The sequence below is a fragment of the Homo sapiens genome, chromosome 8 (assembly GCF_000001405.40).
Source record: "Homo sapiens chromosome 8, GRCh38.p14 Primary Assembly".
Lineage (NCBI taxonomy): Eukaryota > Metazoa > Chordata > Mammalia > Primates > Hominidae > Homo > Homo sapiens.
Genome location: NC_000008.11, coordinates 141,167,568 through 141,192,067, shown reverse-complemented (window position 1 = coordinate 141,192,067; position 24,500 = coordinate 141,167,568). Strand labels below are relative to the sequence as shown.

The 24,500-nt window shown below is 52.7% G+C and overlaps 1 protein-coding gene across 30 annotated transcripts in view, besides 9 other annotated features; it reads right to left on the bottom strand.

Moving 5' to 3' along the window:
- The window catches only part of DENND3 (DENN domain containing 3), a 67,216-nt gene that overhangs the window by 3,737 nt on the left and 38,979 nt on the right, over positions 1 to 24,500 (bottom strand). For 21 of the 30 annotated variants that reach the window (NM_001362798.2, XM_011516933.3, XM_011516934.4 and 18 more), the window contains 8 exons: positions 23,543 to 24,064; positions 16,609 to 16,868; positions 15,307 to 15,477; positions 13,872 to 14,001; positions 11,214 to 11,321; positions 6,790 to 6,929; positions 2,922 to 3,082; positions 1,651 to 1,784 (listed from right to left, as the gene is read on the bottom strand). In NM_001362798.2, coding sequence (NP_001349727.1) covers positions 1,651 to 1,784; positions 2,922 to 3,082; positions 6,790 to 6,929; positions 11,214 to 11,321; positions 13,872 to 14,001; positions 15,307 to 15,477; positions 16,609 to 16,868; positions 23,543 to 24,064 — 1,626 coding nt within the window. The other 9 variants (XR_007060719.1, XR_007060720.1, XR_928312.4 and 6 more) reach the window with 7 other exon arrangements.
- Positions 6,712 to 7,666: an enhancer, noted in NCBI's record as "H3K4me1 hESC enhancer chr8:142194501-142195455 (GRCh37/hg19 assembly coordinates)". NCBI's record gives its function as "activates a minimal SCP1, AML or CMV promoter by ChIP-STARR-seq in primed H9 embryonic stem cells {active_cell/tissue: H9 hESC(primed)}" and the evidence as "EXISTENCE:reporter gene assay evidence [ECO:0000049][PMID:30033119]".
- Positions 8,367 to 8,506: an enhancer, noted in NCBI's record as "active region_28051". NCBI's record gives its function as "activates an Ori minimal core promoter by ATAC-STARR-seq in GM12878 lymphoblastoid cells {active_cell/tissue: GM12878}" and the evidence as "EXISTENCE:reporter gene assay evidence [ECO:0000049][PMID:35858748]".
- Positions 8,587 to 8,636: an enhancer, noted in NCBI's record as "active region_28050". NCBI's record gives its function as "activates an Ori minimal core promoter by ATAC-STARR-seq in GM12878 lymphoblastoid cells {active_cell/tissue: GM12878}" and the evidence as "EXISTENCE:reporter gene assay evidence [ECO:0000049][PMID:35858748]".
- Positions 9,397 to 9,506: an enhancer, noted in NCBI's record as "active region_28049". NCBI's record gives its function as "activates an Ori minimal core promoter by ATAC-STARR-seq in GM12878 lymphoblastoid cells {active_cell/tissue: GM12878}" and the evidence as "EXISTENCE:reporter gene assay evidence [ECO:0000049][PMID:35858748]".
- Positions 10,480 to 10,980: an enhancer, noted in NCBI's record as "H3K4me1 hESC enhancer chr8:142191187-142191687 (GRCh37/hg19 assembly coordinates)". NCBI's record gives its function as "activates a minimal SCP1, AML or CMV promoter by ChIP-STARR-seq in primed H9 embryonic stem cells {active_cell/tissue: H9 hESC(primed)}" and the evidence as "EXISTENCE:reporter gene assay evidence [ECO:0000049][PMID:30033119]".
- Positions 13,292 to 13,341: an enhancer, noted in NCBI's record as "active region_28048". NCBI's record gives its function as "activates an Ori minimal core promoter by ATAC-STARR-seq in GM12878 lymphoblastoid cells {active_cell/tissue: GM12878}" and the evidence as "EXISTENCE:reporter gene assay evidence [ECO:0000049][PMID:35858748]".
- Positions 13,352 to 13,441: an enhancer, noted in NCBI's record as "active region_28047". NCBI's record gives its function as "activates an Ori minimal core promoter by ATAC-STARR-seq in GM12878 lymphoblastoid cells {active_cell/tissue: GM12878}" and the evidence as "EXISTENCE:reporter gene assay evidence [ECO:0000049][PMID:35858748]".
- Positions 18,151 to 18,650: an enhancer, noted in NCBI's record as "H3K4me1 hESC enhancer chr8:142183517-142184016 (GRCh37/hg19 assembly coordinates)". NCBI's record gives its function as "activates a minimal SCP1, AML or CMV promoter by ChIP-STARR-seq in naive H9 embryonic stem cells {active_cell/tissue: H9 hESC(naive)}" and the evidence as "EXISTENCE:reporter gene assay evidence [ECO:0000049][PMID:30033119]".
- Positions 18,651 to 19,152: an enhancer, noted in NCBI's record as "H3K4me1 hESC enhancer chr8:142183015-142183516 (GRCh37/hg19 assembly coordinates)". NCBI's record gives its function as "activates a minimal SCP1, AML or CMV promoter by ChIP-STARR-seq in naive H9 embryonic stem cells {active_cell/tissue: H9 hESC(naive)}" and the evidence as "EXISTENCE:reporter gene assay evidence [ECO:0000049][PMID:30033119]".

The following is a 24,500-nucleotide window of genomic DNA, read 5'->3' as shown; positions in this document are numbered from 1 at the left end:
CATTGACTGCTTAAGCAAAAATCTTAAAGAATGTATTATTGGGAGTACCACACTTGATACTGTTGTAAGCTTCTTACCCTATCCATGAAGCAGTATCATAGTTAGTTAAGGAGGAGGGTGATCGGTTAAGGTTGCATATTGCAATTCTTAGAGCAACCACTGAAAAATAAAACAAAAATATAATGCTTAAAAACAGTAAAGAAGATTAAATTGAACATAAAAATATTCAATACAAAAGAGGGCAAGAAAGGAAGAACAGAACAAATAACAGATGAGGGGAAGAAGGACAACCGTTGGCTTGCACCCAACCACGTCGCTACCGGCCCTGAAAGTGAGCGGAACAGTGGGCAGGGGCCTGCACAGGCGCTGCTCCCAGGGAGGCGTCAGCGGGCACCGGGCACACGACAGAGTGCTCAGCACCATCAGCCATGAGGGAGCCACAGATCCAAACCACAAGACGCCACTTCACTCCCGCGGGGACGGTGTCAGTAAAAACAGGTGAGAACCAGTTTGGGTGAGGATGTGAAGAAATGAAGCCTGAGACTGCGGGTGGCGTGGAAGCTGCTGCCGCCACTTCAGAAAACAGTCTGACGGTTTTTCAAACAGTTAAGCAGAGTGAACCCAGTGCCCACTTGGGGCAGGGGAAGGATGAGCATGTTCCATATGCACACAATGGACTATTACCCTGCAAGAAGGAACGAGCTATTGATATTGATACTCAGAACGTCAGCGATGAATACTATAAACATCCTGCTGTCTGAATAAAGCCAGATACAGAAGAAGGCCTACTGTAGAGTCCATTTGTAGAAAGTTCTGTAAAAACCAAATTCAGATGACAGAACTAAGAGCACTTGTATCCCCTGAATGGCGGCACGGCCTGGAAAGGGGCACAGACGCTTTCAGCTGTGACGGAAACGCTGCGTGTCTTGATTTGTTTCATGGTTATGTAGTTTAGATGTTTGTCAAAACACAACAAACTGAGCACTTTTTGGTGAGCTTTACTATATGTGAAACACGCCTCCATTACAAAAAAGAAAACATATTCCCAGCCGTCACTCATGTAATCTGGCACATGCCGAGGAAGACCTCAAAGTGCCGGCAACTTCTGTGCTCTGGGGCGTCCAGAAATGCAGACACAGCCGCCAGGCAAAGCACCTGCTCCTCCCATCGCCCCCCTGGCAAAATCCCCAGTCTGGGTCCACGGAGAGTCCCAGGCTGCAGCTCTGTGCCAAGCAGCCGAGGGGAACAGAGCACGGGCTCGCCAGCTGCCCCCAGGTGTGGAGACGTGACGCACACAGAGGCCTCCCAGGAGGAGCAGCCATGACTCCGGGGGACACATGGGCCAGCTTCAACCCCAGAGCAGGGCACAGCAAAAGCCAAGGTGAGGGACAGGAGAGCAGTGGTGCGTCCAGGCAAGACAGGCATCCCGTCAGCCGCTGGGTAGAAAGGCAGAGGGAGGCCTGGGGAGCCCCCAGGAGCAGCAGTGCAGGTGGAGTAAAGGTTGCTGCGACCACAGAAAGGGAACCCGAGTTTAAAATAAAGACTGGAAAGGCGTGAAGCAAAGGAAAGAGGCTTTCTGCTCTCGTTCAGCATCCTTTTCCCAGAGCAGGGAGGTAGGGTGCCCGCTCTGATGGCAGGGGCCGGACTTACAGCACCACAGGCGGCCGCCGTGCAGTCTGATGGACGTCAGGCCACCTCGCGGCAGCTGGAAGCGGCTGGTCACCTGCAGTGTGCTCACATTCCACACCAGCACCATGCCGTCCATGCTGCACGAGTACACGTTGCTGGGGGCACAAAACACACACACACACCTTTAACTTGGGCCCCTGAAAACACTGTGCACATTTTAACCCAAGAGAGAACCAAGTCGCCATGAGAGAAAATGTGCTCAACACGGATAACCTGCAAACATGATAATAACATGCAAACATAATAACCTGCAAACGTAACCTGCAAACATGATAATAACATGCAAACATGCTATGAATGCAGCCACAGCCAGGCTTGGCTCAAATGTAACTGACTCGGCAGGAAAAGGCGGGTTTCTCGGGACGCCCACCTCTCCCACCACCGCGGGCCGCAGGCTCAATGAGGTGTTGTCATAGAGCCATGACATGACCATGAACTGAAATGGAACCTCGTCAGCGGTCCCCGTTCACACAAGGGACCAGGGAGCCAGCACGATCCTCAGAGCTCTCGGGTGACATGGGCTGGCTGCAGGTGCAGGCGGCTGTGGGCGGGGCTGGGCTCGAGCCTGCACCCTGCGCCACCCCTGAACCTCCTGAGCCAGCTTTGCTTCCAGACTAGCACCTCCCTACCCACCCCAACAGGGCCTGACACAGGCGCCCCCGACACTAAGTCAGGGGAAAAAGGAGTGGGGAGTGTGGCCCCTCACCCAGGGCTGGGGCTGCCTGGACCAAGTGGGCAGCCTTGTGCACTTTCCCCACCATGAGCCTCTGCTCAAGGAGACCCCACCTCCTCCTCCCGTCTCCCTGGATGCCCCGTGTCCAGTGCTGCTCCCACTGTGGGAAACAGCAGCGAACAGGCAGCCCAAGGCCAACACTGAGCACTCAGGCGATTATCAGGCGAGTCCAGGCTTCTGACACCATGGCTGGTGCACCTCTGGGAGGCTGTGCCCTCTCGGGGCTGCCCCATGCCACAGTGCCCACAGCAAGCTCAGCAGGAAGGCCGGGTGTGGTGCCTTCATCACCACGCTTGGCCCACACTGGTGTCATGGGTTCTCCGCACCCGTGAGCAGAAGCAGACCGAGGACACCACCCAGCTTTCCTCGTTCTAGATCCACTTCACTCTGTACGCCCCGCCTGGCCCCTGTGGGCACAAGACTTGGGAACCCTACCCGCTGTGCCTTCTGCCCACCCACAAGCCAAACAGTCCCTTCTCCCCAGCAGAGCTTACTGCACCTGGGTGCCTCCTGTCCGTCCTGCACAATCAAATCCGTGACACTGGAGCAGTGGGCTGTGAGCTGCTTGTTGCAGGACATGCTGTGGACGTTGATGATGTAGATGACGGAGTCTTCCGAGCCAACCCACACCTGGTTCTGGTCGGCCATCACCATGCAGTTCTAACAGGAGGCCACGGGAACGTGAGAAATCAGTCAGTCTCGATACTGGTGAAGTCATATTCTATACATTTACTGCACGTGCTGAATTAGCGGATATGGAACCACTGCTCCTAGGGGACACGCCGGCTCAGGGTCCTGGGAGCCTCTGGCCCTGACGTTGTCATCCACCCATCAGTGCATAACCTTGTTCTCCGCGTGCTCTGTTCACAGACACCTTATTGACTACGTATGATTGATTCATTAACACGAAACCCACGGCCGCCAGCACTGTCACTGCGGCCTGAACCAAGCTCATCTCACACATGCATTTTCTCTGCAAGACACGTCACCGCCTCCTTGTGCTTAGGGAGCTCCATGCTTGAGGCTTTCTTAAATGGCAAAATCACCAACGAAAAGCAAAAAATGTGAAAACTGTGGCACCAATCAGGCCGAGGAGAGGACACTTGTTGGCCCAGAAAATCCATATCAGGTGACTCAAGTTTTTCCCCCGTCTGTGCACGTGGATGTCTGTGGATCACCAAGAAAATACCACGAGTATCTGTTTTGGGAGTTACAAGTAAATATTAGCAGGTGGTCGAATTTGCAAATACGGAATCTCCAAATGATGAGACCGACTGTATGTGAACAAGCAGAACTGGCAGTGCTCCCAGTGTCTAGAGAGTGCGCTCAGGGTTTCTGTCTAAGCTAAGCAAAGTCAACATAATGATTGCTTTTAGACTCTTTGAAATCAGAATTTTTATTTTTGTTTGTTTGTTTATTTTGAGACAGAGTCTCACTCTGCCACCCAGGCTGGAGTGCAGTGGCATGATCATGGCTCACTGCAGCCTCAGCCTCCCGGCTCAAGCGATTCTCCCGCTTCAGACCCCCGAGTAGCCGGGACTACAGCCATGGGCCACCACGCCTGGCTGATGCCACCACGCCTGGCTGATGCCACCACGCCTGGCTGATGTTTGGCAGTTTTAGTAGAGATAGGGTTTCCCCACGTTGCCCAGGCTGGTCTCGAACTCCTAGACTCAAGCAATCCTCCTGCTTCGGCCCCCCAAAGTGCTGGGATTACAGGCGTGAGCCACTGCGCCCAGCCTTGAAATGCTTATAACTAAGAACGAACTGAAAAAAATTAAATTTAGAAAAATAATTTCCCTAATTTTTCCTTTTTTTGTTGTTTGGTTTAAAGCATTACTAGACTTTTGTCAATATTTTTACTGTATCATGGATCCTATTACTTTATCATCTGAGGCTCATGATTTGAATATGGGGGGAAATGATTTAGCAGGCTCTTATTACCTTCTAACATGTAAAGTTTGCTATTCAGGTATCTCAAGAGTGGTCCCACCCTCTTGGTGGTATGTATTTGAGTTCACAGTATTTGTTTTATAGCAGTTTTGCAAGCACATACTGTGCCACGGATTTTCCCACATTATTTTTAGACAAGGGAACACAGCCATCAAAACTGATACCATGGCCGGGCGCAGTGGCTCACACCTGTAATCCCAGCACTTTGGCGGGGCCGAGGCGGGAGGACTGCTTGAGCCCAGGAGTTTGAGACCAGCCTGAGCAGCACGGTGAAACCCCATCTCTACTCAAAATACAAAAATTAGCCGGGTGTGGTGGTGCGCACCTATATAGCCCCAGCTACTCGGGAGGTCCAGGCTGCAGTAAGCAGCGATTGTGCCACTACACTCCAGCCACGGGCAATGGGAGAGGGACCCTGTCAAAAAAAAAAAAATGGTACCAGCCAATGCCTAATATATACTTAGGTATATACTCCACTGGAGTGTTCTTTTCACATTAAACATGTAAAAAAAAAAAAATCCTATCATGCTCAAGGAGTAAGGCATGAGGATTTCTCAGCAGATCCCATGATGGGGTGGCTGCTTGGAGGGTGACCAGATAGGAGGAGAGTGTAGATGCGAAAATATTTTGAAAACTATAAAATGCAATTTAAATGTGAACGTCATCTGCAAATCCATGAGCAAGAACAGGAGAAACATGGACAAAGGGCGCGCAGGCCACGGTGCGGGGGAGTGTGGGGTCTCAGAGCACGGGGAGCTACTCAGCGGCCTCTCGGGCGACAGGGAAGCGCACACAGATCCGCAGGGAGGGGCAGCTCACAGCGCTGACGGGCAAACAGGGAAAATCCCCAAGAAATGATGGTCTGCAGGCAGGAGGGGCCGCTGGGGGCCTGGAGGGATGAGCAGGGCAGGAATCCCAGCTTCCACACTCAAGATACCATGGTCATGGAAGAAGCGACACACCATGGCACTGCCAAGGACACACTACTAAAAATGTATTAACAGTTGCACTTGTTTTAAAATTATCAGAAACAATTCAAACTTGCTTTAAATCAGGGGTGTGCACTCTTGTGGCTTCCCTGAGCCACAGTGGAAGAAGAATTGTCTTGGGCCACACATAAAATACACTAACATTAACGATCGCTGATGAGCTAGAAGGAAAAAGATTGCAAAAAAAACTCAACATATGTTTTAAGAAAGTTTACAAATTTGTGTTGGGCCTCATTCAAAGCCGTCCTGGGCCACGTACAGCCTGCAGGCCACAGGTTGGACAAGCTTGCTCTAAGTGAGAGGAATAATGTGTGACGAGTGGACACTGAGTTTTGCTGGGCCCTGGTCTCTGCCACCTGGCACGTGGGGACAGGTGGATAACACTGAAGTCACTGCAGAGGCAGCTGTCTCCTCTTTTGCTCCAAAAGAGACCCAGTAACCACTGTGCCACCAGGAAACACCAGGGTTCCCAGGAAACACTGCAGGTTCATTTTAAGGCCCTGGTCCCTGGGAACCTTAGTGCTGCAGTACAGGATGGAAGACATCGTTCCCAGCCTGGGCAGCGTGGCAAAACCTCATCTCTACAAAAAATACAAAATTAGCCAGGCATGGTAGCATGCACCTGTAGTCCCAGTTACTCAGGAGACCGAGGTGGATCCCTTGAGCCCAGAAGGTCGAGGCTGCAGTGAGCCATGACTGAACCACTGCACTCCAGCCTGGGCAACAGAGCAAGACCCTGTCTCAAAAAAGAAAAAAAAGAAGGAAATTGTTCCCAAAGTGTGTGAAGCCTGTAATAAGCAGGCAGAGACCACAATGGCTCCACTTCACAGAACTGACGTCGATTTTTATTATTTTATTATTATTATTATTTGTCTGTTTGAGACAGGGTATGGCTCTGTCACCCAGGCTGGAGTGCAGTGGCGCGATCTTGGCTCACTGCAGCCTCGACCTCCCAGGCTCAGCGATCCTACCACCTCAGCTTCCCAAGTAACTGGGACTACAGGCACGCTCCACCATGCCCGGCTAATTTTTGTAGTTTTTGTAGAGATGGGGTCTCACTCTGTTGCCCAGGCTGGTCTCAAACTCCTGGGCTCAAGGCAATCCACCCACCTCAGCCTCCCAAAGTGCTGAGATTAGAGGTGTGAGCCCCTGCAATCTATTTTTAGATGGGGGCCTGAAATCTGTTTTTAGATGAGAAAGTCAAAGCCATTATCTTCTCCTTCAATAAGGACGTGTAAGTAGAAGTTTGGAACAAGCTTACATTTAATTTGAAAACTCCAGGTGAAAGTTAAGACCCCCTGTTTACAGAAACCGAGTGAGGCTGTGGAATAGCTTGTATCCTACTGTCGAATATGGATGAACACACTTGGGTTTCAGAAATCACGTGAATTCAGAGGCTTCTTTCCTGACGCTTCGTGTACTCACCACTTTTGCAGTGCCCACTTTAAAGGAGTGCTGGTGGATGGTCCATGAAGAAGCATTGAACACGGTCACCTTGCCTTCGCTCAGAGCACACCATAACTTGGGGTGAGCATCTTCAACTTTTTCGGCTGGGTCAAGATGCCCTAAAGAGGAGAGCAGCACAAAACTGTTAGGAGGAAACACTTCTGCTGTAGCAGCAGGTGACTGGTGCCCTTACTCAGGTGCCTCCTGGGCCCTCCTAAGCGCCAGGCCCATGTTAGGTGCTGTACGTACAAAGACGTGCCCAGGCAGAGGCTTCCCTGCCCTCTGGGAGCTCAGAGTCAAGGGGGGCAGCTGGCTGGTGAGAGGGCCACAAAGACAGGGTCAGAGCCGCAGGCAGATGCAGAGCCGAATGCCTGTGAGCTTTGCTAAGCCAGGACCTGCCAGCTGAGTGAGCATTCACTAGAGGAAACAGCCAGGCAGAGGGAACTGGAAGAGGAGCAGGTGGACACAGAGGGAGGGAGGCAGGGAGGGAGGGCAGCTGGAGAGACGGCGGCAGGGGCCATGGTGCCCCCCACACCCTCATGTGCAGCGGGCTCCGCGTCTTTCCCAACACTTGCTGGCGTCCGTCCATCTTTTTAATTTCGGCCATTCTAAGGGTGTGGAGCTTTTGGCTTTTAAATTGTGGTTTAATTGCATTTCTCTAATTGCTAATGAGCCTGATGGCTTGAACTGGCCATCCCCATGCCCTCTTGTGGGAAGTGTCTGTTTTTCGTTCTCCCTAGTTTGTGGCTGTTATTTTTTTTTATTTTTATTTTTTTTTACTTTTTAATAGACGAGGTCTTGCCATGTTGCCCGGGCTGGAGTGCAGCAGTGTTCACAGGTGCGATCACAGCAAACCACAGGCTCCGAGTCCAGGGCTCTGGCCACCCTCCCACCTCACTGGGACCACAGGCACGCCCGGCCAGCTGTTCCGGTGTTCTGGATATGAGCCCCTAACTGACTCCATGGTGCTGTATTCATAAATTACGTATGACATATAAAAATACCATAAAGCAAAAGACTGGTGAATCTGACTACATTAAAAGCAATGATTTTAGCAGCACCCATTTTAAAGATCCTTCCCAGTCTGCAGCTTACATTTTCACCCTCTCAAAAGTGTCTTCTGTCCATTTCCTGTGGCAGGGTCTGGGGAAGAGGCTGTAGGCGCCGTGTCCGGCCATGAAGATGGCAAGAAGCCTCTGAGACAGCCCAAGAAGCAGGCCCAGGAGAGGGACAGAGATGATGAGGCTTCCAGCAGAAAGCAAAACAGACCAGAACCTCAAGGGGCCGAAAGCACAGGCCGCAGGGAGGCCCAGCCACAGCTGGAACTAAGACCCCTGGCGGAAAGCACGCTGCTCCCTCTGCCTGGGCGGTGGCGGCCTGGACTCCACTCCTGTTTCAACACCTGCACCCCCGCCAGGACAGCTTTTGCCATCTTCAGCTAGAGTGAGCGTTGCCCTGGAGCCTGTTGCACTTTCAAGCATAAACTTTTCTTTTTTTTTTTAAATTAAAAAAAAAAAAAAACAAAACAAAAAACTGACAGTGTCACCGGACGTCTTCAGTGGCTTCTCACCCGTCATTCCCACCTGAGCCTGCCAGAGGGCGCTCTTTGGTCTTCTACCCTCAATTTTGTGTCACCGTGAATTAAACCAGCTCATTTGAAAGGAGGAAAAAAAAAGTGTCTTCTTTTTAAAATCATTGCTTTTGGCCAGTTGTGGTGGCTCACGCCTCTAACCCAGCGCTTTGGAGTCCAAAACCGGCAGACTGCTCAAGCTCAGGAGTTCAAGACCAGCCTGAGCAATACGGCAAAACTCCATCTCTACAAAAAAAAAAAAAAAAAATACAAAAATTGGCTGGGCATAGTGGTGTGCACCTGCAGTCCAGCTAATCAGGAGGCCGAGGGCGGAGGATCGCTAGAGCCCAGGAGGCAGAGGTTGCAGTGAGGTGTGATCGCGCCACTGCACCTGGGTGACAGAGTCAGACCCTGTCTCAGAAAAAATAAAAATAATAAAGTCATTGCTTTTAATATAGTCAAATTCAACATTCTTTTCCTTTATGGTATTTTATATATAATTTATGCATTTTTTTCTTTACCATAAAGTCATGAAAATATTCTTCTACCCTATCACCTAGAAGTCTGCTTGCTTTCATTGTTCACATTTGCCTTTTACCACCGCGTTGAGGTTTCGGCCCCCTTGGGCCTGACCGCAGGGCAGTGTGAAGGGGCGAGGTTTCACCTTTCCCCTGAGGATATTCAAGCGACCCCCCGCCCTGCAGTGCTGCCTCCGTCCTGAGTCCAGAAGGGCAGGCCTCCCGGTCTTTCTGGGGTGCGATTCCAGTGGTCTGTTGCTCCCATGGGTGAGACACTGCCGTCTCTGAGAGGCACGCTCCCCATGGGCAGAGCCTGAGCTGACCTGTGGCCTGGCCTCAGGGCTGGTTCTCCTAACTCCTAGGAACCTGTCGGAGACCCAGCCCCAAGCTAATGGGAATAACAAGACTCCCCCTTCTTGATGGGGCCTGACCCCACCTCTTGTCCCTGCAATCTCACAAGGCTTGCAAAAGCCCTGCTCGGCTACCAGCTTCTCGGCCACCCCTTCCAGAATCGGCAGCCACAGGAAAAGGCGGTTTCCCCATTCCCCACGGCTGCTTTGCACGCTCTCTGCAGGCCTTCGAGATGCTCCTGGAGGGGAAGCCGCCTGAACTCCTCGCCCGTCACAACAGGAAGCTCAGAGTGAGTTTCATTTCAGGGAAACCAACCGGGACCTAAAAATACCATGTATTCAAATGCCACGGTCAAAGTATCTTGGTCTGTGGAGTCATCTCTGGCGAAGTCAGCACAGAGCCTGGCTTAGACACATCAGGTAGGGCTCACGCGGGGCGGCCCTGATGACGCTGCCTGCTCACTCAGCCAGGGTCTATCGCGTTCCTGGGTTTCTTGGCCTGCCATGAAGAGAGAAAAACTCTCTTATGGGGAAATCGCTTCACACACAGCTTCTCTGCCCACCTGAAGCATGAGCTCCGTGTGTGAATGGCCAGGTGCTCTGTGAAGCCGCGGACATGGCCTGTGAGAGGGGGTGACACCTACATCTGCATCCCTGACACCTACGGCTGACACCTGCAGACGCAGATGCAACAAACAAAGTGACAATTTTAAAAATCCCTTCTGGGCTGGCGCAGTGGCTCACACCTGTAATCCCAGCGCTTCGGGAGGCCAAGGTGGAGAGGTATCGCTTGAGCCCAGGAGTTCGAGATCAGCCTAGGCAACATGGCGAAACCCCGTCTCTACACAAAATTTTTAAAATCACCTGGTTTCGGTGGCACGTGCCTGGATTTGGTGGTACAAGCCGATGGTCCCAGCTACCCAGGAGGCTGAGGCAAGAGGATCGCTTGAATCCAGGAGGTTGAGGCTGCAATGAGCCATGATTGCACCAACTACACTCCAGCCTGGGCAACAGAGCAAGACCCTGACTCAAAAAAATAAAAAATACACAAAAAATACAAATCTTTTCTGCCGAGAACTGTATTCCTTTGTTTTCCACACTGTAAACCCTCAGCATAAGCTTCCCTGCTGCACTGTCCATAAGCCAAAATTAAATAAAAGTATTTTCCACAGTTTCAACGTGCGACATGACAGCCATCTTTTTTTATACCAAGACTCTTGGCCGCGCCCATTTCCTTCTCCTGCCACCACCCTGATGCGGCGTGCAGGGTCCCAGGAAAGCCAAGCACAGGAGGCAGGTGCAGCCGCACCCAGCGGAGAAGAGGGACTGGCAGGCACTCAGGGCCGCTCAGGGCCACACAGACTCCTTGTCATTCCAGTTCCTATGACAACAAATATCTGAGGCGCCATCACCTTATCACCATGACAAGAGGATCCCATTAAGAGCTTCTGCGGAAACGATGTGAGCAAGAGTGCTTTAGAAAGTGCCAGTGTGTTAGCCAGACATGGTGGCGGGTGCCTGGGGTCCCAGCTACTCGGGAGGCTGAGGCAGGAGAATCACTTGAATCCAGGAGTTGGAGGATGCAGTGAGCCAAGATTCACCACTGCACTCCAGCCTGGGTGACAGAGCAAGACTCCGTCTCAAAAAAAGAAAGAGCTAGCGTGACCGTCGACTGCTCTAGAAGGTGAGGGACGGCAGCCCTGGGGCGGGAGCTCAAGTGCTGGCCCCAATTCCATCTCCCGTGGGCTCTCTGGCTCCAGTCACCGTGAGGCTGAGTCCGTGGAGCGGTCGTGCCAGCTGCACACCTGTCACTCAGCACTTCACCTCAGAAAGCAACAGGCACCTTGTCCCCACTTATCCCGTGACACTGGCTCCCCTTTCACTTCAGGGCTGACCCTGAACCCAAACCTAAGCGCATCAGATTGGCTGAAAACTGGCAGCGAGGCGCGGGCAGAGGGGCCTTACCTGGAGTGTAGAGCAGCACGTCCACCGCTTGTGGGAACGCCTCCCCCGCCGAGGGGTTGATTTTATGCTTCAGTGTTTCCAGGGTTGTCTCCGGAAGCGTCATGGGCACTGAAAGACAAGACACTTGGAGTGTTACTGTTGCAGCCTCAAGGAAACAGACGCGATGCAACGGCCTCACGCACTCTGATTTCTGCAGAATATCAGCTTGCAGGTAAAACTTCCTAATTTGTGAAGACGAAGGTCTCTTGGACCCGGGGCACTGAAAGAAAGCCATGCACCCTCGGCCTCCTTTCCTGGTTGTCACCTGGTGTGCGAGTGAGTGGCCAGGCGCATCCCCCACCTGTGTCCACACCACACCTCCATGCCCCTATGCCTCGAGCTGCCTTTGTTTAAACACAGCCTTCTTCTCTGCTCCTGAGCCATCCCTTGTGATCTCTAGCTACACCCAAACATGACACAGTGCCCAGCAAAGCGGAGATATAAAATTCTCCTCAATAACGAAGCCCTCCCAAGATGAAACCCAGAGACCTAACCCATGAGCGCGGTTTCCCAGCCTAGAACCAGGGGCGTGTTGGGCTGGATAATCCTGGCTGTGGGCGAATGCCCAGCATCCTGTGTGCCATGGGATGTGGAGCATCATGAGATGCCAGTAGCACCTCACACACAACCACAGATATCTCCAGGTGCTGTCAAAATGCCTCTCCGCAGTGAGGGGGTGCAACATCGCCCCCCGTTCAAAACCACTGCTCCTCAGGATATCCTAATGCTCCTCTTGCTATCCAATCCAACCCATGTTTCCAGGCAAAACCTAAAGCGGCCTCCTGCCTGGAGGCCCCCGGGCACAGCCTGCTCTGACACGGCTCCTCATTGCTGCCCGGAGGCCCCTGGGACCAGCCTGTTCTGCGGTCCCTCCTGCCAGCCCCTGCGGGCGCCTCGACCTCCTGCGTCCAGGACTCCCTCAGTCCCTGCCGTCCAGGGCCTGCCCCTTAAGTGCTTCTCTTCCATCATTTTGTTACTGTCATAGCAACCTGATGAGATTGGTCCCGTTATCCCCATTTTGAAAAAAGAAAGATGAAGAAACCGACACACGTCGACATCCGTGATCAAATGAAGATCACACTGTCAGCAAGGGGTCGACCAGGACTCCGCACGAGGCTGGCGGGCTACACCGGGCTGCGGTGAAAGCCAACTGGCCGCGGCCAACGCCTCTTCAGCTCCTGCCTCGGACTATGACATCTTCGGGTATTATTTAATTCCGTACAGTCTGAGACCTTCCATCATGAGTTGGCCATAAGCTACTAAATTAAGCTCAGGCTCATGTGTCCTGAGCTTTACACATGGGAAAATGTTTCCGGATTTGTAACGAGGGAGCGGGAGCCAGCGCACCACACCAAGTGACACCAGCATGGCGGCTCCTCGTCTGCCGTCATGCGCTGATAACAGAGGCGTTAGAAGGCTTTCCTGTAAACGCCCGACAGAGATTAGGCATGAGTTTGGAATGAGATCAACAGCTGAAGTAGGGGGTTTGTTTGATTTTGCTCCCAAGGAAAAAGAAAAGAGCAATCAATGTCTGGTTCCAGGACTGTCAGACAAAAGCTCCTTCAAGCCACTCAGCTGGCCTTGCAGGAACACAGGCACCTGAGCCCGGCTGCTGCTGCAGCTCAAGGTCCCTCTGGGTCACGTGGGAGAGGGATTCTGTACCCAGAAAGTGGCAGAGGTCCTGCAGTTGGTGACAGATGCCACAAAGAGAGCAAACTGTGCCCAAGGAAATAAACACGTAAGTGAGGTTTGTTCCTAATTCTGCGACTTTTTAAAAAGCCAGAGTCCCCTAGATCTACGCCCAAGGGAAATGAAAACAGATGTGCACACCAGAGCTTACACATGAATGCTCACAGCAGCCACAACACAGAGGCCACGCCAGTGCTCACTCACTGATGAAGGGACAGACCAAACGTCCTTCACCCAAACGGTGTCTATCACTCAGTCACAAGAAGACCAGAAAACCCTAGGCTTGAAGATCACCTTTCACAAGAAAAAAATGGGAGTCCAGCACCAGCCTCTATGGCTTCCAGAATGCGAGAGCCAGATGCAAATCTACAGGACAGTCAGAGGATTCCTGTCTGGGGAAGCTGACCCAATCAAGAAAAAAGCGGATCCTGACGTGCAGGGCCTCTCCTCACTCATGCAGCGGTGAAGCCCGTCAGTCAACAGGCCAGCTGTGTAGACGTTCCCAGCTTCTCAGCAGGTGTGTTCCTAACTGCAAGTCCCAGACACCCGCTCCCCACCAGTCAGAGATTCCAGGAGCCGCTCCACAACCTCCCACAGGTTTCTAGTCTGCTTCAGCCAGCCAGAGGAAAGGCTGTTGTTTGTAATTACGAATCACCACAAATGCTTGCAGTGTACATTGCAATGCTATCCAGACATTAAAACGACGAGGTGCCTCAATTGGATGCGCAAGGGGCTCCAAGGTGCACTGTGCAGTGAAGGAAGGAAAGATGCCGGATAAGGTGTGCGACTCGAGAGTAAATTACAAATATAAAAGAAAAAACTGGGGGAGCTGGGCTCGGTTCTACTTGATAAAACAGACATCGACCAGATAAAATCACTTAAGGCGTGTAATCAGGACAATGATCCACGCTAAGAACGGGCTTATCTTACTTTCGTTACTCATCTTATCAAAGTAGGATAACTTGGAGGCAGCGTAGATGGCGCCTGGTGACTGCAGTGTGCCCACGACGGCGTCCATCAGCAAGACGTTGGTCAGCGCCTGCTGGACGTAGTGAGGGTCCTACAACAGAAACACGTGCGTTTCAAAACAGCAAGAATCACTAAGATCAGTTCACCGGAGACCTTGTTGCAACACACAGGACAATCCTTCCAAAATGCCTTTTTCCAAAGTGACATGAAGAGTTTAGATCACGGATGAATTTGGATTTTATGTCATATATTTCTTCTCTTACTTAAGACAAATATTGATTGTTTATACCAGGGCTCAGCCAGTGTTTTCTAGAAGGGGCTAGGCAGGAGGCATTTCAAGCTTTGTGGCCAGTCTCAGCTGAGATCACCCACTGCCTGCCACTGCGGCATGGGAGCACCGAGGGACATTTCATAAACAAACAGGCAGGACTGTGTTCCAATAAAACTTTACTTACAAAGACAGTCCACTGGCCCACGGGCTTTGGTTTGACTATGCTGGTTTATGCTATGTAAACCAGTGGGTATAGCATCAGATGGCTAGTCTAAAAGCCACAGGGCACTGGAATCTTAGAAAGGACCCAGTCCCCCTCTGCCCTGTGACCGGGAACTTCCTGTAATAACAGCAACCCTCCCGCTGTGGCCCCATCTGTTCCTCCTAGCACTGCCACTGTAGTGGGTGCCATCGTCCCCGGCATTTCTCTGAGGATTAGTGGGGCTACACACCTCTTCATAACCTGGTGAACTGTTCCCTTTCTGTGAGTTCCGCGTTCATGGTCTTTGCCCATTTTCTAAGGCGTCTTCCTGTCTTGTGCCACCCTTGAGCAGCGTGGATGCCTCCTCTACACACCACCGGCCCATGGTTCCCTTCATTACTATGCAATTGTCATTTGATATCATCAAAGCTATCAATTTGGCCCAAAGTAAATTAAGGTACAACAATCCCTAGAAAAATCATCTCAACCCTGTGGAAGGAAAGCAGTACTGCCCCTGCCGAATTCCAAATCCTGTGACTGTGAAGAGTCGCTCAGAGCAGGGAAGCCCAAAACACCCAACTCCGGCCTGCGGGTGTGGACAGCACCAGCACCGTCCGCCCCCGGGAGGCCCCACTCTCTGGGATGTCGCCAGTCTGGAGCGGGCAGTGGGGCACCCACACCTGCCCAGACCGCCCTGCGTTTTCTCATCATGCTCTTCCGTAGCACCGTGAGGCCTCTCGCTGGGTCACACAGACCACATCTTCAATGCTTCTGTCAAGATGGTGTCCGACAAACTTACTCTGCTTAAGACACTCAGACCCGAGCCCGAGCACTCACAGCTGAGGACTGCCACAGGACCCACAGGTGGCGAGAGGCCCCTGAGGCAGCCACAGCAAAGGGCAGAGGGGACCCGCGTCTCCCACCTTGTGGTCATCGGCCAGCTTCTTCCCAGCCCACATCTCCTTCACCATCAGGTGCCAAAGGTCACACTCGGTTTTCAGGTTGGCTTCGAAGACTTCTTTCTTGGACGCCACTCTGATTTTTAAAGTGGGTATTCTCCGAAGTAGAAATGTAGTAGTGGTTCTCCTGACCTCCTGCAGAGGCAGAAAAGAAAAGTTAGGAATGTCACACTCAGAGAACACGTGGATTCACCAGAGACAGAGGCAGAGCGGGCTCTGGAATGAAGAGGCAGATGGGCTGCAGGCACGCATCCTGCTGGCATGTGGAAGGCAGGGCCCCGGGTGAGGGGCAGTGTTCCCATGGACGGCAGGTAGGATTCACCTGCGGTGCGGCACCTACACCCACCCACACAGCTGGGCTCGCCCAGTGTCCGAAGGCAGCGCATTCTTTCACATCCTTAAATACTTCTCTCTCCCTCTTTTTGTTTTTTTTTTTTTGTTTTGTTTTTGTTTTTTTTTACTTCCATCTCCCTTTCCTTATATTTATTTACATTTCTTTGGAATTCTAGAAGGAAGTCTGGAAAAGCAGGTGTGGAAAAAAGCATAAACTGAAGGCCAACAGCAAGAGGGGGATCTACTGGCCGAGCATTTACTATGGGCTGCGGCTGTGGCTTGACTGCCTTTCTGGCTTCTATGACCACTCAGCAGGTGATCACATAAAACATTTGTGTATCTGACATGCCTCTTACAGTCCCCTTAAATCTGGGAAAACAACTATAAGGCGTAAGAGGAATCAGGATGAAATTCAGATTTCCTCGACAGGGAAAATGACTACCTTTAGAATATAATGTTAAAACTGTTTGAAGATTTTTTAATTGTTATAAAATAAGCTTGTTATGTTTTATATGAACCAGGTCCGACTGTGACTAGAAAATGTGAGCTACTGTAGCTCACCGTGGCTGGCACATGGCAGTTTCTCAGTAAACATCTCATGGATGAACGAAGGCGTCCTACTGTCCCTAATGAGAATGTCAGCCCACATTCTTACTTCCTGCCTCCCAGATGCAAGTCAGCTGTGACAGAGAATCAGTTACCATTCTAAGCATGCTCCATATGCAAACTATTCAATCTCCACCACCCACTGAGAAGGTATCAGCCTTATTCCTACTTTACAGATGAGCAAACTGAGGGACAGGAAGGCATTCGGTCTGCAGAAGGGCTGCAGCTGGTACTTGGCATGGCTGGCAGACTGCTCAGGGCCCACTCCAGCCATCTGTCTCCTAAACACAGGTGGGGTCTGGCGCCGTCTGCCTGTGCTGTCCTTACCTCTATATTTCTGAAGGTGGAAATCTCCAAGTAGCCTGGCCTTCCTTCGGTTAGGAGGAACAGGCGCTTCTGGGTCATGGCGATCTTGCCAACGCCTAGGTTTGTCTTGACGGAGCTGGACAACTTACACACACACTCGTTTTTATCCAGGTGTTCCATCACCAGCCACGGCAGACTGACCTCCTGGGCTTCTGCTTCCGTCTCCTTCCAGCAGTTGTAGAAATCTTTGAATGTTTCTGGGTCGATTTGTTTCTCCTGTCCTTAGTTTGATAAGAAGAAAAGAGAGGTATCTTACAGCCACATACCTCGGGAGCCCCAAGGGCTTCTCCATGACCTGAAGAAACCGCACACTACCGGAACCCGGCAGCAGGTGGCGCCAGCACTCAGGGCGCTGGATGGAAACTGCCTAGAAGGTTTCCCAGGGCCTTCCCTGCAGCCCAGGTGTGTCCAGCTGTCAAGGGAGGGGCACACGATCTAGGCTGAGCCCGCAGCCCTTTCCAGCCGCCCGCTCTGGGATGGCCACGGGACCTGCTTCAGGTAGTCACAGCAACTCTTACCTTTGGGTAGGAAAGTCCTTCCGGACAAGGACACTCTTCTAATGGGGGCAAAGACCTTCCTCATCACTAGAACTGCTGGCCACTGTCTTGGGGTCACAAGGGGAGCTAGTCCTAGGATGAAGCTAACGCCGGGAAGGTTGGATCCTTAGCGCCGCTGCCCTGCCACTGGGTCGGCCTCTCCTGTAACTGGCCCGACCTCCACACTCTTTGGTTACCAGCAAATCATTGACTTTTGTTGTCTGCAACTGAAATCACCTCCGCTGATGAGAAGCAGTAACCTTCCCACGAGGCCAGCACTCACGGGCTCTGGAGTCAGAGGAGCCTGAGCCTGAAGCCCGCTTCACGACCTTTCACAGAGACTCCTGGCAAGTCGCGGAACGAACCTGCTTATCTGTCAGCGGGAGATGGGACGACCCCTCGGAAATCCCAAGTCCCTGCCGGCAGGTCCTGCCAACTCAAGCCCCTAGCCTGCCTGCTCGGCTCTGCCTCCACCCAGTGTCCCTCTCTCTGTCCCCTGACGTGCAGCAAGTCCCCCTCAGTTCTGCACAGGAAAACCCTCCTCAGTGGCTCCTGCCTTCAGAGCCACCCGCACTCACAGCCTGCTTTGCGTGGCACTCAGAGCCACTTTTCTCAAATGCAGAGAGGAGTTCCCGCTCCCATGTTTAACACTCAGGGCTGCTTCTGTATACCACAGCCACATTCTTCCAAGATTGGGCCCCACCTACCCACCCCACAGCCCAGCCGTACCAAGCATGCTCCCAAACAGGTCGTGTTGTTACACGCACACACACACTCATCCTGCCTGCTCACACCAGGAAACTCCTACCCATCCCTCAACACCCAGGTAGGCATGCCCACGCACGCCTTCCCCGATAAGGCAGAGACATCCTGGCCAGGCCACTGCTGAGCTGCACACCTGCTTCCCTTATGGCACTGCTGTATCCAGCAACACTTGCTACACCCCAAGAACCAGAATCCACTCTATATGGGGTCCCACTGAATCCTTACAGCCACCTTATGAGGTGGCTCATTCAAAAGGGGAAACTGAGACACAGAGAGGAAAGCCCTTTGCCAGCAGACCTGGGCCGTGAGGCTGGGCAGACGGTCTGCCCAGAGCTGGGGTATGCCTTCCCTGCTGGTCGCTGCTTGAAAGGGGAGTACCTGTGACCTCAGATCCTCAGATCCTCAGATCCCGAGTCTGAAACAGCAAAAGACGTGGCTAATGGTCCAGCTCCGCCACGCCCTGTTCCGATTCCATACCAAAGCGTCAACAGCGATGCCTGTCTAGGGAATCCGCTATCATGGCCACAGTTGAGTCCAGGACGACTGAGTCGTCACGGCAGCAACTAAAAGACGACCGCCACAGGAAGGAAGTCGGCGCTGTCACAGGCTCAGGAGGAAATTTCCTCATCTCTTACATCTCACTTCCGAGTCACAGGCACTGCCGGCCCTGCAGGGGTGAGCTGAGCGGGAAGGCAGGCTTCAGCACGCGGCGCAGGCACCAGGTGGTTATGCGAAAATCTCCACCAGGTGGCGGGATTCCCGATGAATTATTCTTTTGGCCCGTCGGTATTTTCTAGTCACCAGATCCAAACAGAAGAGAAATATGCACCAGTAAGGGTCTCTGTAGGCCTAGTGCAATTGTTCCAAAGAAGTCACAGAAGAAGACAAAGGAGGATGCTGTGGCCCAGTGGGCGGGGCCTGTCAGGCCAGGTCTCTGCAGCCCCTGTGCTGGGCAGCAAGGTCATCTGTGAGGTCGCGAAGAGCATGGGGGTCCTCTCCTGACTCTGTACCTAAGATTGTTTGCCAGAGTCTCCCTTCCGTTTTAGAAATAGCACCCAATGCAGCCACCTCCGCCTCTGACTGGGGTGCCTCAGCCACCTCCGCCTCTGACTGGGGTGCCTCAGCCTACACTTCCCAGGGGTTCTGAGTTGCTGGATTTATTTTAGTTTTTATTTTATGTATTTCTTTCTTTTTTTTTTTTTAAATTTAGAGACAGGGTCTTGCTCTGTCACCCAGGCTGGAGTGCAGTGGCGTGATCATAGCTCACTGCAGCCTCGAATTCCTGGGCTCAAGCCATCCTCTAGCCTGGGCCTCTTGAAATGTTAGGATCACAGGCGTGAGCCAAGGCACAGACTCTGGGTTTAAGGCAGAAGCACTTGTTACATGAATCACATCACATAAAGCAATCTTTTGGTCAGGTGGCCAGGCGAGGAGAGGCCCAAGAAACAGGAAAAGGAGAGCAAGTGAGAGTGAATCGGCGAAGCCATCACCTAATGAAGGAGCCAGACACCCTGAGTGTGGAGCCCCAGCCATGGGTCCTGCCCCTTGCGCCGCTCAGGGCAAATCTTCTTGCTGCCTGGTCCACAGCAGTTACTGGGGGGCTTGGCAGGGTGAAGTGTGTGTCACCAGAGCCTGACACAGCTTCTTCTCACAGATAACAGCGCTGACCTCAGTGTGAGGGCGCTCAGGGCTCTAGAAAACCCCAACCAAGGGAGGAGCAGCAACACCAAAGAAGTCCCATCAGGCAAGAAGCAACACTCACCGCAGCTGCCACCAGTGCTCAGCCAGCCTGTGGACACTACGCCACCAGCACTGCAGCAGAACAAGACAGTGCATGCCCAAAGTCACTGTGCAAACCCACCACCGTGCACACCCACAGACACTGTGCACACCCACGGCCACTGTGCACATCCACTGTGCACACCTACCACAGTGTACACCCACACTGTGCACGCCCACAGTCACTATGCACACCCACTGTGCATGCCCACCACCGTGCACGCCCACCACCGTGCACACCCACCACCACTGCGCACACCCACCCTATGCAGCGTGCCCACCACTATGCTCACCCAAGACACTGTGCACACCCACAGACACCGATATGCACACCCACTGTGCACGGCCACCACCATGCACACCCACTGTTCACACCTACCACAGTGCACACCCAGACACTGCACACCACCACCATGCACACCCTCGGCCACTGTGCACACCCACTGTGCATGCCCATCACCATGCACACCAACAGCGTGCACATCTAGGCACTGTGCACGCCTACCACAGTGCACACCCACGGCCACTGTGCACGCCCAGCACCGTGCACACCCACTACTTTGCACACCCATGGCCGCTGTGCACACCTATGGCTACTACGCACACCCACAGCCACTGTGCACACACACCAACACTGCACACTTATGACCACTGTGCACATCTGTGGACACCAGGCACACTCATGAGCCCATGTGATCCACAGCAGCTGTCATGCACGCAGTTGTTGCACACGCCCACGTAGACACAATGCCCAGTCCTCATTTGTCTCCAGTTTCACACAAACACCAGCCGTTAACCTCTCTCTCGTCACCCACACGCCTCCAATACAACTGTTCCTGCTCAGCTAGGTGGCGTGCAGGCAACGTCACCATTGGAGCTGCCCATGGACGTCTTGCTTCTGCACGGCCATGCTGGAGGTGGCAGACATGTCAGCGTCCCTGGGGAAGGCCACCTCACGGGCAGCTGCAACAGGGAGCATATTGGCCTTGCACTGTTAATAGCATATTTTGCCATTAAAGTATGTAATGATGAAATTGCAATATATTTTTCAATAAAATCTCTGATGTATTCTTATATCACATAAATTTGTCCAAAGATGGTGACATTGAGCTCTGACCAAACCTTGTTGTTTTTTTTAACAAATGCCCATTTGGCCAAAACATGTATTAGGTGCTGCTTTACATTGGTAACTTCAGGCTCACATATCCCAGAATCAAGACCATTTCCTAACCTAATCGGCAACGTAAGCAAGGCCAAAGTGACAACAGGGCCACTGATGGCATTATCACAAGCAGCCAGGTCTGCTGGACAGGGCCCACGCACCCTTCCCGGGCTCCCTTGCAACTGGGCGGCCACATGACACGATTCTGCCCAATGAGAGGAAACAGAAGGCACTGTGTGGCGGGGGTGGGGGTGCCTCAAAAGATGGACGGACCCTGCTCTTGCGGTGCTGATGCCCACGGGCTGGCTCGTGACCGGGAGACAGCAGGCCGCTCCAGGCCACAGAGGAGTGACAGAAGGAGCTGGCGCTAGATGACACGGAGGAGCCTCCATGCATGCCCTGGACTCCTGTCATGTGAGAGACAGTCACCCCCAGTGGGATTCAGCCCCTGCCCTGCCCCCCAGGTGGCTCCTGGGTGGTGCTCATCATCCGCAGGAGCTCGATGGAAGTGGGGCCCACCCCGCCCTGCCTGGCTGGTGCAGCATCTCAGCGTCCCCGAAGCACGGCACAGGGAGTGACCACAGAGCATCTGAGCTCACCCTCATCGGACTCCACAACTGGGACCAGTGAGGCCACGATCTGATGGCTTCTGAGCTCACCCTTATCAGACTCAACAACAGGGATCAGTGAGCGCACAATCTGATGGCTTCACCACGCAGGGAGAGGTACAGCGCGCGCACACACGCACACTCGCACACATATACACACATACACATTTTCACACCCACACACATTCATATACACACATACACACTCATACACACACTCGGCCATGACATCCCTCAGAGCCCACGGGCACGATAAGCAAGGAAACTGCATTCCGCAGCGCTTGTTTCACAGCCGGAAGAGAGACCTGCCGGGCCTCTGTCACCAGGACAGCTTTTCCCAAGGGCCTGAAGAGCCCTACACATCCCTAAGGAAAGGACAAGCAGCCCAAGATAAAAATGGGCAAAGACCATGACAACACAGCTCACAGAAAAGAAACCAGAACTGCTTCCAAGCACGTGCACTGTTTGTGACGTCAGTGTGGCATCCTTGCAGGCTCACAACGGGCGAGAGTCGAGACTGAGGAATGTGTGCTGCCTGGGAGCATGGAGGCGCGGCCCCCGCCAAGCCCGACTGACGGTTCTCACATCTCAAAGCAGGCCTTGGGTACACATCTCAGAGGAACTGACCCACACATACTCCAGGAAACAGGTGCGACACCACTGATGGTGAAACAGGTGGACAAATGGTGCCCACACACTACATACAGCACAGGCAGTGGTTGAAGTGAATGAACCCAACGGATGTGGAGCAACACAGATACGTCTTGAAAACACCATGAGTAAAACAGCACGTGCAAACTCAGACATACGGTGTGACAATTCCCATTCTCCCATTTTTGTGTTTAAACTCACGACCACTAGGTACCGCGTCAGGTGCATCCATTTGTAGTAAATGCATAAAAACATGGCCAGAAAAGAAAGCTCCAGCTTCGGACAGTGGCTCCCTCTGGGGAGGGAGGGAGAGAGGCACACGGAGCCCCCGCTGGGTCTAAGCACAAGCCCACTGCACTCCATGGGAAACGCAGCAGGTGTTAGTCTGGGCGCAGGACCCTGGCATTTGTCCCACGTCCCCGCTTTTGCATGTGTCTGCAGCATTTCAGCCGAGGCCATGGTTCTGTGCAGATGCTGAGCAATTCTCCCGGACAAGGAGCGTCTTCATCTCCCATCAGCAATTCTAGGTCCCTTCCACCCACACAGAGCGCAGCTCAGAGCCCAGCCTGGAGACAGGCTGTGTAAGATCTCAGGACAGGCACATTGCCTAAGGGCCCCGCCAACCACACCCGTTCCCAGGTAAGTGCCCAGGGCAACTGTAAAGACCACGGTGCTGCAGCGGTCTTGCCTGCCACCTGCTGGCGGCTTACCTCACCACTGCTGTTACCTGACCACTGTCGTTAAGCATTTAAAATATATAGGGTCAGGCGCGGTGGCTCACGCCTGTAATCCCAGCACTTTGGGGGGCCAAGACAGGTGGATCACCTTGAGGTCAGGAGTTTGAGACCAGCCTGGCCAACATGGTGAAACCCTGTCTCTACAAAAATACAAAAATTAGCTGGGTGTGGAGGCGCATGCCTATAATCCCAGCTACTCAGGAGGTTAAGACAGGAGAATCACTTGAACCCAGGAGGCAGAGGTTGCAGTGAGCCAAGATCGTGCCATTGTACTCCAACCTGGGAGACAGAGCAAGACTCCATCTCATAAATAAAGTAAAATAAAATATATGGGCCCAACGCAGAGGCTCACTCTTGTAATCTCAGCACTTAGGGAGGCCGAGGTGGGTGGATCACTTGAGCCCAGGAGTTCGAGACCAGCCTGGGCAACATACTGAAACCCTGTCTCTACAAAAAATACTAAAATTAGCCGGGCACGGTGTCGCGTACCTGTAGTCTAGTCCCAGCTACTCGGGAGGCTGAGGTGGGAGGACTGCTTGAGCCCAGGAGGTGGAGGTTGCAGTGAGCTGTGATTGCCAGTCCACTCCAGCCTGGGCGACAGAGCCAGACCCTGTCTCTAAATAATAAAATCTGTGATGGTGCCAGGCCTCCTCTTACCTACAGTCAAGGCCTCGAACAGCCGGTGTATGATGCTGGCGTCCTTCACGATCCCTGACTCCTGGACCCGCTTCATGAAGTCGCCCAGCTGCATGTGCTTCTTGGGCAGCTTGAACTTCTTCACGTGGTCGTCCAGCTTCGAGGCCTCGTGCGGCTTGTCCAGGATCTCGCTGATGAGCCTCATCAGCTCCGGCGCCTGCTCAGCCCCCTCCCACTCAGGGGCAGACATGGATTCCACCGTCCTCTTCACCAAATCAGTGGGAAAGATCCGTATGTCTGTTTTATACAGATTCTGGAAGTCCAAGAGGGCGTTCAGCAGCTGTCCCTGCATCAGATAAACGAGCCCTCGGAGGTACAAATAGCGGGCCAGGAGCAGAGAGTTATCGGGGGCCAGAAAGCACATGGCCTCGCTCAGCATGGAGACAAAGTGGGCATGGTATGCCTGCACGCACTTGCTCTCCAGCGGAAAGTGGATTTCGGGAATCTTGAATGTATACGGGGACTTCGGCGTGACATTCAGAACTAAAACATTCAGGGGGAAAAGGAGACCATTAGCACAGACCTTCCAAATGAACACGTGTCCCTGTCACATCATCTTGTCAAGGACAATGTTTCTCTGGATGCAAAATAAAATGAGAATGGGTGTGCTCCCTCCAGAAAGCTCCACACACCCACCCCCCTGGGAGGCATGAGAGAACCCTCACTTTGCTTCCATGGTACCCCAAGGAGAATAGCAGCTAGCATTCACTGAACAATTTGGTTTGCTACAACTAGTAATACTACTGAGGTATCGGGTACTGAGGCTTTATTTGAGGATGAAGCTAATAGCCTAAGCCAAGATGTACCTGCTAGGCAGGATGAAGCCCTTTAGAACCATTGTTTCATTTACCTTAAAGACAACTCAGGACAGGGGTATTATTACTATAGTCCCGTTCTACAGATGCGGAAACCGAGGCTT